Below are 14,448 nucleotides of genomic sequence, written 5' to 3'. Positions count from 1 at the left end.
TATGCTGCTGAATTTTGCTGGTATTTTATGGTAGAGTCTTGCATCAGTATTCATATGGGATGTTGATGTATAATTTTCATGCAATGTCTTTGTCTGGTTTGGTACCATGGTAATCCTGGCCTCAGAGAAGGAACTAGGAAGTGTTCCCTCCTCTTGCCTATTTGGGAAGAGGTTGAGGAGTTATGGTGTTAAGTGTTCCTTAAATGTTTGGAATAATTCTTACTAAGTAAAATAAGGGTTACTAAAAATAAAAATAATTTTTTTTTTAAATGCAAGAATTAACCAGTGGAGCCACCTAATTTTGGGCTTTCTTTGTTGGGAGGCACTGGGTTACTGATTCAATCTCCTTACTAGTTAAGGATCTACTCAGATTTTCTGTCTTCATGATTCATTTTTGGTAGGGTATATGTTTTAAGAGATTTGTCTATTTTATCTAGGTTGTACAATTTGTTGGCATACAATTAAAGATAGTGCTCTGTTATAATCATTTTTATTTCTCTAAAATTTGCAGTAAAGTTCATATTTTTGTGTGTAAATTTTGCTTCTTGAGGCTTCTCTATTTTTTAGTCAATCTAACTATAGGTTTCTCAAGTTTCTTAATCTTCTGGAATAACCAACTCTTGGTTTGGTTAATTTTCTGTTTTTCTATTCTCCATTTGTCATTGCATTAATCGGTATTCTTTCTTTCCTTCTACTAGCTTTCTGGTTCAAATTCTTTGCCTTTTTGTAGTTCATGAATATAAAATTAGGTTGTGAATTTAAGATATTTCTTTCTTTAATATAAGCATTTACAGGTACAAATTTCCCACCTACTACTGCTTTTACCTCATCCAATAAATTTTGGCACGTTGTTTTTAATTTCAATGGTCTCCATATATTTTTTAAGTTCACTTCTAATTTACTCTGACATATAGGTTATTTAAGAATGTGTTTAGTCTCCACATACTTGTGAATTTTCACTTTTCTTGCTGCTATCATTTCTAGTTTTTGTGATCTAGATTGTAATTGGAAAAAATGTATTTTATTATATTAAAATTTAAAATTTATTAACACTTGATTCGTGGCCTAATATATAGCTATCCTGGAGAATATTCCATGTGCAAATGAGAAAATGTATATTCTGTTGTTGTTGTGTGGGTTATTCCGTATATGTGTTTTAGGTCAATTTTGTGTATAATATTCTTCAAATCCTCTATTTCCTTACTTATCTTTGTTTGTTTGTTTTTCTTACATATCTTTGGTCTGGCTATTTGCAAGTGAGGTATGAAGTGTCCTAGTACAGTTGACCCTTAGTATATGTGGGTATATCAAAATGCATACATACTCAAGTCTTGCGGTCAGCCCTGTAGAACCAATGTATATAAAAATTTGGCCCTTCATATATGTGGGTTTCACATCCCATGAATATTGTATTTTCAATCTGAGTTTGGTTGAAAAAAGTTCACACGTAAGTGTACCTATGCAGTTCAAATCCATGTGGCTCACAGTCAACTGTATTATTGGGTAGCTACTTCTCTCTTCAATTCTGTATTTGCTTCATATAATTAGGAGCTCTGATGTTTGGTGCACATATGTTTATAATTGTTATATCTTCTTGGTGAAATCATCCTTTTAGTAATATATAATGTTCTTCTTGGTCTCTTCTAACAATTTTTCACTTAAAGTCTAATTTAGCCCTTAGTAAAGCCACCGTTGCTCTCTTTTTATTACTATTTATATGGAATAACTTTTTCCATCCTTTCCGTTTCAATCTATGCACATCATTAGATTTAAGCATATCCCTTGTGCAGAGCATACACTTGGATACTGTTTTTTTCAATGGTTTTGCCAGTGAACATCTTTTGGTTGAGGAGTTTCACTCATTTACACTAAACTCATTATTTGTAGGAAAGGTCTTACCATTTTGTTATTTTTTAAATGTCTTACTGCCTTTTGCCCCTAATTTCCTCCATTACTGCCTTCCTTTATGTTGAGTCCTTTTTCTGTAGTGATACATTTTGAAACTCTTCTCATTTCCCTTTGTGTGTCTCACTGATATGTTCTTTATTTGAAGAAACATAACATTCTACATGCTATGGTCTAAAGTTATAACCATCTATTTAAAATTGATACCAACTTAACTTCAGTCACATGCAAAAACGCTACTCCTTCACAACTTCTGCTTCCCTTCATGTTATGTGACTGGTATCATGTATTGCAACTATACATATTGTGTACCCATTCACATAGATTTACAATCATTTTAATGCATTTTCCTATTACATAGTGTACAAAATAAAAAGTGGAGTAAAAACTCAAATTACAAAAATAGTGAGTTTTACATCATTCATGTAATTTTATTTACTTTAGATATTTATGTTTTCATATGGTTTCAAGTTGCTGTCTAGCATCCTTTCACTTCAACTTGATGGCATCCCTTTATAACTTCTCATATAAATTGTCTTCCGGTAATGGACTCTCTTGGCTTTTGTTTCTTTAGAAAAGTATTAATTTATCTCTCATGTTTGAAGGATAGTTTTGCTGAATATTGATTTCTCAGTAGACAACTGTGTGTTTTTGGTTTTTTCAGCAGAGAATACATCATCTGTCTTCAGATGTTTGCTGAAAATCTGCTGACATCTTATTGAAGATTCTTTGTACATGACAAGTCATTTTGGACTTGCTGCTGTCAAAATTTTCATTTGTCTTTGTCCTCCAATAATTTTTAACAATATGTCTCAATTGGGTCTCTTTGATTTTATCTTATGTGAAATTCATTGAGCTTGGATTTACAGAATAATGTGTTCTTCATATTTGAGAAGTTTTCAGCCTTTATTTCTGTAAAGCTCTCTTTGACTTTTTCTGTCTCCTCCTAGGACACCTATAATGCATATATGGTGCCTTGGGTTTTGTGTATTTTTACTCATTTCTTTTTCTTTTTTTTTTTTTTTTTGCTTCTGAGACACAATAATTTCCTATGACTTATCTTCATGTTCACTCATTCTGATGGTACTGTAGCAGGAGTAGGAACAATGGGCCTTAGGGGCACTTACCTGTGGCTTCAGGACCCGCTCCAACCCAATCTCATATATACCACTTCCAAGTGGAATACCAATGTGCACATACAATTTAAAGATATGGAGTGGCCAACTACACCCAATTCATAATGGAAACCTTGGCTCACATGCTAATTTGGTAGCCCATGGTTAAGTGCTCTGTCTTTACTAAGTGGGAGGACTGCTTGATGCCAGGAGTTCAAGACCAGCCTGGGCAACAAAGTGAGACCCCATCTGTACAAAAAAAAAAAAAAGAGAGAGAGAGAGTAAACATACGTAGAGGATTTCAGGGCTTCGCTACAAAATTCTATGTGTTTGTGCTTTGATTCATCAGTTGTGGCCAGCCACTCTCTCCAAACATCACTATCTGTTTCTGATATTTCAGTCACTTGTGGGTCTCCTGGATCATAGGACCCTAGTGGAAGAGAAGCTTATATGACAGCTGGCACATATTGCACAACCTTGTCTCAACTGAGGCAAAATGATTTCAGGTCACTCATAAAAAGCAGAGTAGTACACCACAGTGAAGAATAAGTAGCCTCCAACAGCTGAGCAGGGCCACTGGGCATTGGGACACTTTTTTTGGTTTTAGGAAGCATCACATGCTACTTGCCCTACACCTTAGATTAGAAAGAATATCTTTATTTATTTTTTTGAGACAGTCTCACTCTGTCACCGAGACCGGAGTGCAGTGGTGCAATCTTGGCTCACTGCAATCTCCGCCTCTTGGGTTCAAGTGATTCTCCTTTCTCAGGTTCCCAAAGAGCTGGGATTACTGGCACCCACCACCATGCCCAGTTAATTTTTGTATTTTTAGTAAAGATGGGGTTTCATCATGTTGGCCAGGCTGGTCTTAAACTCCTTACCTCAAGTGATCTCCCGCCTTGGCCTCCCAAAGTGCTGGGATTACAGGCATGACCACCACGCTTGTCCTAGAAGGAATATCTCAATAGTTTTGCATCAGTGAACTCATGGAAATTTCACTGAGGTGGAAGTCCTATGAATATTTATAGGACTTATTCTGTCCTTCTGATATGCATGTGTCTTACAAACATGTCTAGATTACTTTCTACTTTTTTCTCACCAGGTCCAATCATCACATTAATGTGCCATTTGACAATAAGGATTCAGTCATTGTCAAAAAGAGTGATTATTTCTCCTTTTGAGTACATAGTCACACAGGTTCATGGCCATAGTTTCCTGTGGAGAACTCTGAAATGTGGTAGGATCTATTCTCATCCAGTATTGGCCTCCCTTTCATGTAAATGAATGTGGATTTGTAAACTGGACATGTCTTGGATTTGATTTTGGGGCTGTGACTCTGTTAGGTGATTCCAGTCACCCTTTTCTTCACTTGCAGTAGAACTCTTCTGAGTTCTATTGACAGAGTAGAGACAGGGCTTGGCTTCAGTTCACCCCGACTAGAGCGTTCTTTCATGCATTCCCAATGATCACAAAACCCACACCTCTACCTCACTGCTAAGAATTCCAGGAACTGGCCTTGGGTGATAACCAAAGTTGTAGAGTGTCTCCCTTCAGGATGAAATGCTAAACAATTGATTTACAGCCTTGTTGCCACCACCCAGACCACCAGGTGGCCCAGTACACAAGATAAGCATTGCAACCAGGTAATGCTGACCTGCATGCCCTACCAGTCATGTGCTTTTCCCAGCCCAGCCTTCAAACCCTATCCCTGATGTTAATTCCCACGCTTTGCCAAATAAACAATCCTATGAGCTCTTTGAAGGGAGTCAGGAAATTCTCTCTTGTGCCGCCTTCCTTATGTCCAGGCATAAGCTCCAGTGAAGGCTTGTCTGGGAAAACCCTTTCAGTCTCATTTCAATTTCTATTGCAGAGCCCAGGAACCTGTGGTTGGTGGCATATTCTTTGGGGATTTGTCTAGGATCATGGGACATGGGGGGCCTTTCTCTCCCTGAGGGGTAGACATGTGAGCTGACAGGACTGCTGGACAAGATTTCTTCATGATTGAAAATCACCTGACTGAACTTTTGATTCAGTGTTACCACAATGGTTGGCTTTCTCCAGCCTCATGGACCTTGCCTCTGCCTCTACTGTAGAGAGCCGAAAGCCGGAGGATCGTGACCAACTCAGCAGTCCAGTGAGGCTATATGATCAAACAACACACTGTTTATCATGAATGCAGGATGTGGGCAAACTCATATCTGTACCTGCCACCAGAAGGTATGCTGAGTTCAATCACTCCCTGGTGCCGTGCTCCTTGAGGTTATCTACTAGAATATCTGGAGACTACTGTTCAGGGAATGCAGTCATCCAGGCCTGCACTGAGTCAAGCAGCTGACTGACAACCACCTCCTTCTCTCTATCTCCTTTGCTCAATAAATACAAAGGGAGCTAGAAGCTCAGGGCCCTTGTTCACTAGAAGCAAGGAGCCTCCTGACCCCTTCTTCCGAATATACTCTTTTGTCTTTATCTTTATTCCCGCGTTCATCCTCCTTTGTTCAGTCCAACAGGGATTGGGGCCACGTCACCCTACCGGCCAATGATTTTCTTTTTTTTTTTTCTTTTGAGACAGGGTCTCACTCTGTCACCCAGGCTAGAGTGCAGTGATGTGATCTTAGCTCACTGCAACCTCTGCCTCCCAGGCTCAAATGATCCTCCTTCCTCAACCTCCTAAGTAGCTGATACTACAGGCATGTGCCACCATGCCCGGCTAATTTTTGTGTTTTTTTAGAGACAGGGTTTCCTCATGTTGCCCACACTGGTCTTGAACTCCTAGACTCAAGCAATCTGCCCACCTTGGCCTCTCAAAGTGCTGGGACTACAGGCATAAGCCACCATGCCCAGTCAATCCCTTCCCTTTTTTCTTTCTCTCTTTTCCTCTTCCTATCTTTTTTCTTACTCAGGGTGCTTTGCCTCTCCTTTCCTAATCCTTACTGGCTTGTGTTGCCTGAATAGACATCCAAGAGGAATGAGTGGAAAGTTTCCCTGTCTTACTGATCCGAGTCACCTGAATAGAAATCCATGCAGGATTTCTATTCAAAGTCAAATTGAAAAGGTTGACTTTGCAGGCCTGATCAACCTGGCAAGCAGTGGGATGGACTGCACCCCTCCCCTGGACTAAGTTTGTTCAGGTTCCAGTCCCAAGAAAAATCTCTCTCTCCCTCTCTTTTCCTCTCTCTGGCACCCTGGCCCTTGATCCTGTAACTTTATTCAAAACTCCGCACTACTCAGCACTTTGGGAGGCCGAGGCGGGCGGATCATGAGGTCAGGAGATCGAGACCATCCTGGCTAACACAGCGAAACCCCATCTCTACTAAAAAAATACAAAAAATTAGCTGGGTATGGTGGCGGGTGCCTGTAGTCCCAGCTACTCAGGAGGCTGAGGCAGGAGAATGGCCTGAACCCAGGAGATGGAGGGTGCAGTGAGCCAAGATCACGCCACTGCACTCCAGCCTGGGCGACAGAGTGACACTCCGTCTCAAAACAAACAAACAAACAAACAAACAAACTCCTCACTACTTCACTTCTATTGTTCTATAGCACTAAAGGTGACTATAACCAACAGTAACTTGTTTTCAAATCCAAAAAACAGATTTTCAATTTTTTCCAACACAAATAATGTTTCAGGTGAAATTAAACTGATTTAATCAGCACACATTATATACATGTATCAAATTTCACACTCCATAAATATGTATAACTTATATGTCATTTAAAAATAATGATAAAATTATATCCAGATTCAAGCGCCTCTTGTAGCGCTTCCCACAGTCCTCACATTTGGATGGGTTTTCTCCACTGTGGTCTCTTTGTTGGTCTTTACAGTATGACCGGCATACAAGCCTCTTTCCACAGTCTTCACATTTCAATGGCTTTCTTTGGCAGTGGAGTTTCTTATGATTCAAAATACTAGAAGCATGTCTAAAGCTCTTCCCGCAGTTATCACAGTTATAAGATCTCTCTCCCGTGTGGGTTCTATGGTGGAAGTCAAGACCTGACTTACTAATGTAGCCCTTCCCACACTCCTCACATTTGTATGGCTTTTCTCCAGTGTGGACTCGTTGATGGACCAAAAGATATGAGGACCATTTGAAGCTCTTCCCACATTCTTTACAATTATATGGTTTCTGTCCCATATGAATCATCTGATGCTTATGCAAATCTAGCCTATCAATGAAACCTCTTCCATACTTTTCAGATTTGTACAGTTTCTCTGCTGTGTGGACCATGCAATGCCTATTAAGACTTGACCTAAGACAGAAGCTCTTACCACATATTTCACATTTGAATGGCTTCTCCCCAGTATGAATTCTGTGATGTTTCTGAAGCTGGAAATTGTGCATGAAAGCCTTCCCACATTTCTCACAATTATAAGGTTTCTCTCTCATGTGTAATTTGCAATGAACTTTAAGTGCTGATCTACATCTGAAGCCTTTCCCACACTGCTCACATTTGAATGGTTTCTCTCCAGTGTGGACTCTTTGATGAGTTTGCAGACGTGAGCTCTGACTAAATTCCTTACCACACACATCACACTTATAGCATTTCACTCCCATGTGGACCCTCTGATGAATATGAAGGGCTGAGATGTAACAGAAGCTTTTTCCACACTCATCACAGGTATGAGACTTCTCTCCTGAATATAACTGCTGAGGAAGATCAAAGAAGGAAACATCACTGAAGAACTGTTTACAATTTTCACCCTGGAAAGGTTTTTCTCTTGTGTGAACTGTAGATAGTCTTGCTTTAATCTGGGAGGGGTTGTCATCTTGTTCAAATAACTGAGAGTTACTTATGGTGGTATCTTGAGACCTGGTTAAGTCACTTGCAATTTGTTCCCAAATTTGCTTGCAGGAAAATTCTTCATGTGTTCCTGCTTCTGGAACAGTCTCCATCTCAGTTTGGATCTTGCCTCCTATAAGGACACAGAATTAAGACATGTGGACAAGTAGGCCAGGCACGGTGGCTCACACCTGTAATCCCAGCACTTTGGGAGGCCGAGGCGGGTGGACTGTGAGGTCAGGAGTTTGAGACCATCCTGGCCAACATGGTGATGCCCTGTCTCTACTAAAAACACAAAAATTAGCCGGGTGTGGTGGCACACACCTGTAATCCCAACTACTCAGGAGGCTGAGGCAGGAGAATCGCTTAAATCCAGGAGGCAGAGGTTGTAGTGAGCCAAGATCAGGCCATTGCACTCCAGCCTGGGCAACAGAGTGAGACTCCGTCTCAAAACAAAACAAAACAAAACAAAAACAGAAACAAACAAACGAACAAAAACACCAAATAAGACATGTGGACAAGTGAAGTCTTTGTTCAGTGTTTTCAAGACTTCACACTTAGGATGTGGGATTTAACTTTAATGAACGTTCATTTTTCTGTTTTCCAAGTGCACCCTGGTTTTTGGTTTGCATGAGACCAATTTAGAACCACACCATGTCTCATATGTAAAATTCTGGATAGAAATAAAATACTTATTTAAAAAATTAATATATACATTTCACTTGTTGCTATTTCTAGTGAATTTTTTAGTCAGTCTAAAATTTTGTGTGGTAAGTTATAAAGCTAAAATACTACATATGTAGTGAAATATGAATCCAAAGGAACTTTAAGGAGAAGCAATAACGAATAAACAGTTTGTATATTTGTCTGTTATACATCCTTACAAAGAAGTTAACCTAACTTGAAAGAGGTCAGGACGTTGTCGTCAGCATCTGAGAGGTAATCTCTAGGATCTTGAAGTGTCATGCCTGAGGAGAGTCTCTTTGCTTGAGGGTAAAACCTGGGTAACTCTGGATAGTGAAACAATATTATTTAGGGTTGTGACTGGCCACTCCTTTGGGGCATGGGGGGTGATACTCCTCACATCAGAAAGAACATCAGTGTGATTCATGGAAGGGCTTTACCTCACAGGGAATCAGTGAACCAGGAGACTAAACAACCACATGGGAATCAACCAACCAATCATGGCTATGAAATTGGAGCCCCAGTAATTACTCTGGACCCCAGCACTCAGGTAAGTTCCCCTGATTGGGAGTTATCTGTGTCTAAGTCACATGCTAATCCTGACAATGTAACATACCCCACTCCACTGGGAGAATACAATAGAAAATAAGGATTTGGTACTTCCCTGGACTCTGTCTTATTTAGTTTCTCTCTTGGTTAACTATAATATGCATGTTTTCCCTGTAAGAATCAGTAACTGTGAGGATAAAAGCATTCAGTGAATTCTAAGAGTCTTTCTAGCAAATTACTAAACATGAAGATAGTTTTGAAAAGCTGCCGAATTTTCACTTGATGTGAAGTGAGAGCAGTCCTCTGTAAAACGTCCCACTAAACTTCGTAGTTGGTTGAACTCTTCACAATGTTAACACCAAACACCTCAGAGTGTTTAATATCTATACCTTCAAAGTATTCCCCCACAATAATTTTACACATGTATAAAAATACTTAATCTTATTTTTCTGTTTTGATATGGATAGTAAGTAACTTGGTTATCTGAAAGAGTACAGGGACAGACAACTGTAGTTCTGAGGGGAATCTGAAAGGCTGTCCTTCCAGGGGTTCACAAAGGGGGATGCTCCTGATCAGACAATCAAAGTTGTTCAGAAACACGTGGAATGAAAAGAAAGTCTATGAGGTAAACAGGCTTTATAACTTTTTATACTCAAGACTATGCCTCAATGAGCTGAAATAAAGTTAAAACCTGCAATAAACATTTACAAAACAAGAACTAGAATGAAAATTATTGCAGCATTATGACAAGCAGGAAAAATGTCATTACATGAATTGCTTACTAAAGCCACTCACACACATCTACACACATGAAAAATGTTTGTCCGTGTTACACTGACAGATATGTTTCTTACTATGGCTAATGCTCACAAAATGTTTAGAACTTTGTCAGGATATTACCAAGTCCTGAATTAGGTACATTTTTCCAATGGAAAGATAACTTCCAAGTTTTTCCAATGGAAAGAATCTTGGAAAATATTAATTGATAAGTATGTACCTTTCAGTACACAGTAGTACATGGATATATTTAATATGCTGTCACGTATAAATAAGTCTTTAAAGAGAAGGGAGAGTATCCTTCGGGAGGTTTCTATTTTGAGAGCAGTTTCCCAATTCCTTTCAGGTCATAAAGTTCACCAGATGAAAATACAACACTATATCTCTATAAATATAAAGAAAGATTTCAGTAAAATCTATATTCCTTCACATTTTTGACAATTAAATTTGTATAAAGATGCAGAAATAGACACATTTTTTGAAGAAAAACATTTGGAAATATAAGCAACATTCAGCTCATAGATATAAAGAATTTCTCACAGACATAAACACGGTCCTTAAGGAAAGCTCAAGGGTAAGCCCCAGGGAAGGCATGTTTCTCAATGTGGTCATGAAAACCATGCTTGAAAGTTTCCATGGGATGTGGGTCAACTGCACACACAGAAAACCAACCATGTCAAGAGAACCTAAGAAAGTCAAAATTGGATAAGCAGCCCTGCACAGACAAAAAAAAAAAAAAAAAAAAAAACAAAACAAAACAAACCAACAACTGTCCTGCAACATATAGTCAGCCTCTATATCTGTGGGTTCAGCATACATGGATTCAACCAACAGTGCATCAGAAGTATTTGGAAAAAAAAAATTCCACAGAGTTCCACAAAGCAAAACTTGAATTTCTCACATTGAGTCCTATACATTGAATCCATGTGAATAAAGCGATGGGTAGGCATTGCGTTTGGTGTTATACCTAATATAGACATGACTTAAAGTATATGAAAGGGTGTGTGTAGGATATACACAAATACTTTACATGTAGAAGGGACTTGAGCATCCTTGGCTTTTGGTATCCACAAGGGGGTCCTGGAATCAAACCCCACGGCTACCAAGGCATGACTATATAACATTCACTCTTGTATGTCTGTTACTTATTAGCTATCTCCATGATTCTTACAGACAGTCAAGTCCTCTCATCCATTAATTCATTCATAAGAATACCAAATATTTACAGATAACTGCCATGTACCAGGAGTATTCTAGGTGCTGAAGATGCAGTCATAAAGAAACAGATAAATGCCTTCAAGAGATTACATTGCAAAGGGGAGGGGCGACTTATCAGTAGACAAAAATACATGAGACACAACACAGGCAGGCCAAGAAGAGTAAAGATAGGATAGTATTTTCAATAAGGTGCTTGGAGACGACCTCTCCCATGATATTAAAACTGAGCAGAGAGCTGCATAAACTAAAAGAGGGGTCAGTAAGTTTTGTGGGGACAGTGTATTCCAATCAGAGAGAAGAGCAAGTGAGGGCTCGGAGGCAGAAGCTTTTGTAGTAGAGAAAATAATCATTCCTGAAAGATGTCTACATCCAGTCCTCAGAACCTATGAACACGTTATGTTCCACAGCAAGGGAGATTAAAGCTACAGATGCCATTGAGGTCACTAGCCAGCTAAGCAGAAAGTGGGAGGGTCATCCTGAATCATCCAGGAGTGATGAATACTATCACAAGGGACCTGAAAGGTGAAAGAGGAAGGCATAAGAAGAGTGGCAGAGGAAGCATGACTATGGAAGAATGGTCAGGGATGCAATGTAGCTGCTTTTGAAGATGGAGGAAGGGAAACAAGAGCCACGGAGTGTGGACAGTGACTAGAGACTGGTAAACCAAAATGAAGTCTTCTCCCCATGAACATCCAGAAAGGAACAAAGCCCTAAGACCACTTGATTTTTGCCCAGTGAGATGTGTCAGACTTCAGGCCTACAGAAGAGAAAGATAAGTGTTTCTTGTTCAGTCTGCTGAGTTTTATGTCACCGGCCACAATAGGCAATACAATGTCCTTGGCAGGATAGAGAAACAGCAGGGAGGACAAGGTGCCTGGAAAAGATGGAGCAAGGGGGAGAGGACAGGAGATGCAGTCAGACAGTGTGGGATGAAGGGCAGATCACAGGGTCTACAAAAGCCACTTAAAGAGGTTGTAACACTAATAAAAACAAGAAGCCAGAAAGGCTTTGAGCTGAGGAATGGCAATGTGACTTCCGTTTCCTACGGATCACTTTGGCTACCGTAAGAACAGATGGCAGGGTGGGAAGGGTGGGAGCAGGGGCATCAGCAGGGAGAAGGCTGTAATAATCCAGGAAACAGGTTTGGCCATTTACCCCAAAATGCTGGAAATGGGCATGGACAGAAGTAACAGGAATCACATGCAGGGACACACAATTGCTTGGTTCTTACCCAAATTCCCTTCTCTTTGGCTTGTTGTCCCCATCACCCAAAACTTTTCTTCCCTTAGGAAGTGGAAAGTATCTCCATGGAATGGTTGATGCCCTGTGAACAGGCAAAGTCACATGCTTAATCCCAACATGTTCAAGGTAATATCATGTTGGTGCAAACGTAATTGCAGTGTACCATTACTTCCAATGACAAAAACCACAATTACTTTTGCACCAACCTAATAGCCAGGCAAAATTTACTGGAAATGTAGGTTCTCACTGCACACTCAAACTTGAAAACCCTAGGATTAAAAAACCACTCCTGGGGCCTGACATTCCATTACAGGGGGTGCCCGTCCTCACCCACTGAGAGCAGGTTCCTGAAGTTCTCAAGCATCACATCTCGGTACAGCTTCCTCTGGGCAGGGTCCAGCAGCCCCAGCTCCTCCTCAGTGAAGATCACAGCCACATCCTTGAAGGTCACTGCCTCCTACAACATCAAGCAGATGTCACCTCAATCTTACGGCCAAAGACTATTGGGAGACAGCAGCATTGCACTGGCACAAGGGACAAGTGTAAAGTTGTTTTGGATCTTGAGAGACATAGGTCAGCTTATAGATTTCCTACTTATTCTGTTTGTGTCCTGACAATGACTGATTAGGCAATAGGGGTTTGGAATGGAGACTGCACACACCAGTCAACAGGGTGTGTCCTGAATAAATAGTGGGTAAAGGACATTTACTGAGATGCTATCTCTAACTCCACTTCAGGAAAGCTTGCTGCAGAGTTAGAGTGATATAGTCCAAATGCTCTGTTTGAGTCGCGGGCCCTTTGACGAAAATGAGACTGAGGCAGGAGAATCACTTGAACCCGAGAGGCGGAGGTTACAGTGAGCCAAGATTGCACCACTGCACTCCAGCCTAAGCAACAAGAGCGAAACTCTGTAAAAAAAAAAATATATATATATATAGAGAGAGAGAGAGAAAGAAAATAGTAGATAAGGTTAAAAAAATTAAAAAGCAAAAAGCAAACAAACAAAAACTCCTATAGAAGTCCAAGCCCCTGAGCCTTGCCTCAAGGTGCCTTCAATCAAGTCCTAACTTACGTTCTCCACCTGTTCCCAGCTAGTACCTCTGCCTCAATGAGAATTGCATTCAAGAGATGATCAACTCAGGCTCTAACCTGGACTGCCTAGGTTTCAACTCCTGCTCCACCTGTGTCTCACGCCCATCTTTAAAATGAAAAAAGCAGCACCTCTCCACAGTGCCACTGTGAAGATCATGTATTTTGGGGTATAAAGTACTTGGAATAAAGTTACCAATTAAGGCTTAATCATTATCGACACCCATGCCCGAGGGACAAATCCTACACACTCTCGGTTGAGGTAAGCATCTCTGTCAAAGAAAAAAAGCCAAGGATCACTCACGTAGAGCTTTGCCATCAGTAGCCAAGAAGTCCCTTCCTGCAGCTCTTTTAGAAAGGTCGGGCTGGGGAAAAAGAAAGCTGTGAAACACCCTGACCGTTTTGCCGTCCCCCATAAAAGTTAAATGCTCCCCTCACTTTCCTAAAAAGAGGTCAGAAGGCGTCAGGGATCATCCAGCGTCCTGCAGGGATCAGGCAGAAGGGCCGGCGCCCCTGCAGCTGGAGCTCTGACCCCACCAGAGGACCTGACAGGCTTCGTGGGAAATTAACAAGAGACCACCAGACACCGAGTGACAGGGACTGCTTTTAAGGCTCTCATTTGTGTTACCTCTTTCAGGTCCCAAAATGAATCCATTAGGATGGTCCGAAAAGTCCCGTTACAAAACAAACAAACAAACGAACCAGCAATGGAAGATAAACGGACATTAAGTGACACTCCACACCACACTGAAAGGGGCTGCACACGTAGGGAGGAGGGAGGCGGACTAAGCGAGGTCAAAGTAGGGCACACCGGGCCGCGCCAATCCCACTCCCTGAGACCCTAGCAGAGCCCCCCGACGCCAGAAGGCTCAGCTGACTGGAACGGCAATCCCCGCCCGCGCCCCTCCAAACCTCTGCTCTCCGCCCAGGCTTCTTTTCTCCTGAATCGATCATTGGGTGGTTGCGAGCCCCAAGGAAAGGAGACTCGTTCGGAAGGACTCGCAAGATGTGGAAATGACTCAAACTACTGTGGTAAATGAAATAGCAACGTCACAGTTGGGGACCGGAAGTGCTCGAGCCTCCACAGAGC

General features: G+C 40.9%; 1 protein-coding gene across 5 annotated transcripts, besides 2 other annotated features; it reads right to left on the bottom strand.

Annotated features, from left to right (window-relative positions):
• Nucleotides 1–6,638: 6,638 nt before the first annotated feature.
• ZNF222 (zinc finger protein 222) lies at nt 6,639–14,370 on the bottom strand. 5 transcript variants are annotated; one of them, XM_005259208.4, is made up of 5 exons: nt 14,271–14,370; nt 13,663–13,723; nt 12,600–12,726; nt 12,259–12,351; nt 6,639–7,932 (listed from the first exon to the last, which is right to left on the bottom strand). In XM_005259208.4, exons 2-5 carry the CDS (start codon nt 13,675–13,677, stop codon nt 6,719–6,721), a joined length of 1,449 nt encoding a protein of 482 aa, XP_005259265.1. In that variant the 5' UTR covers nt 13,678–13,723; nt 14,271–14,370; the 3' UTR covers nt 6,639–6,718. The 5 variants fall into 5 exon arrangements, with proteins under 5 accessions (XP_005259265.1, NP_037492.2, XP_016882726.1 ...); NM_013360.3 differs by lacking the exon at nt 12,259–12,351; XM_017027237.2 differs by lacking the exon at nt 13,663–13,723 and having other exon boundaries at nt 6,639–8,809.
• Nucleotides 14,075–14,124: an enhancer, noted in NCBI's record as "active region_14750". NCBI's record gives its function as "activates an Ori minimal core promoter by ATAC-STARR-seq in GM12878 lymphoblastoid cells {active_cell/tissue: GM12878}" and the evidence as "EXISTENCE:reporter gene assay evidence [ECO:0000049][PMID:35858748]".
• Nucleotides 14,355–14,404: an enhancer, noted in NCBI's record as "active region_14749". NCBI's record gives its function as "activates an Ori minimal core promoter by ATAC-STARR-seq in GM12878 lymphoblastoid cells {active_cell/tissue: GM12878}" and the evidence as "EXISTENCE:reporter gene assay evidence [ECO:0000049][PMID:35858748]".

Source organism: Homo sapiens, chromosome 19 (genome assembly GCF_000001405.40).
Source record: "Homo sapiens chromosome 19, GRCh38.p14 Primary Assembly".
NCBI classification, from domain to species: Eukaryota; Metazoa; Chordata; class Mammalia; order Primates; family Hominidae; genus Homo; species Homo sapiens.
The sequence above is the reverse complement of the archived record's forward strand: the minus strand, read 5'-3'. Positions and strand labels throughout refer to the sequence as shown.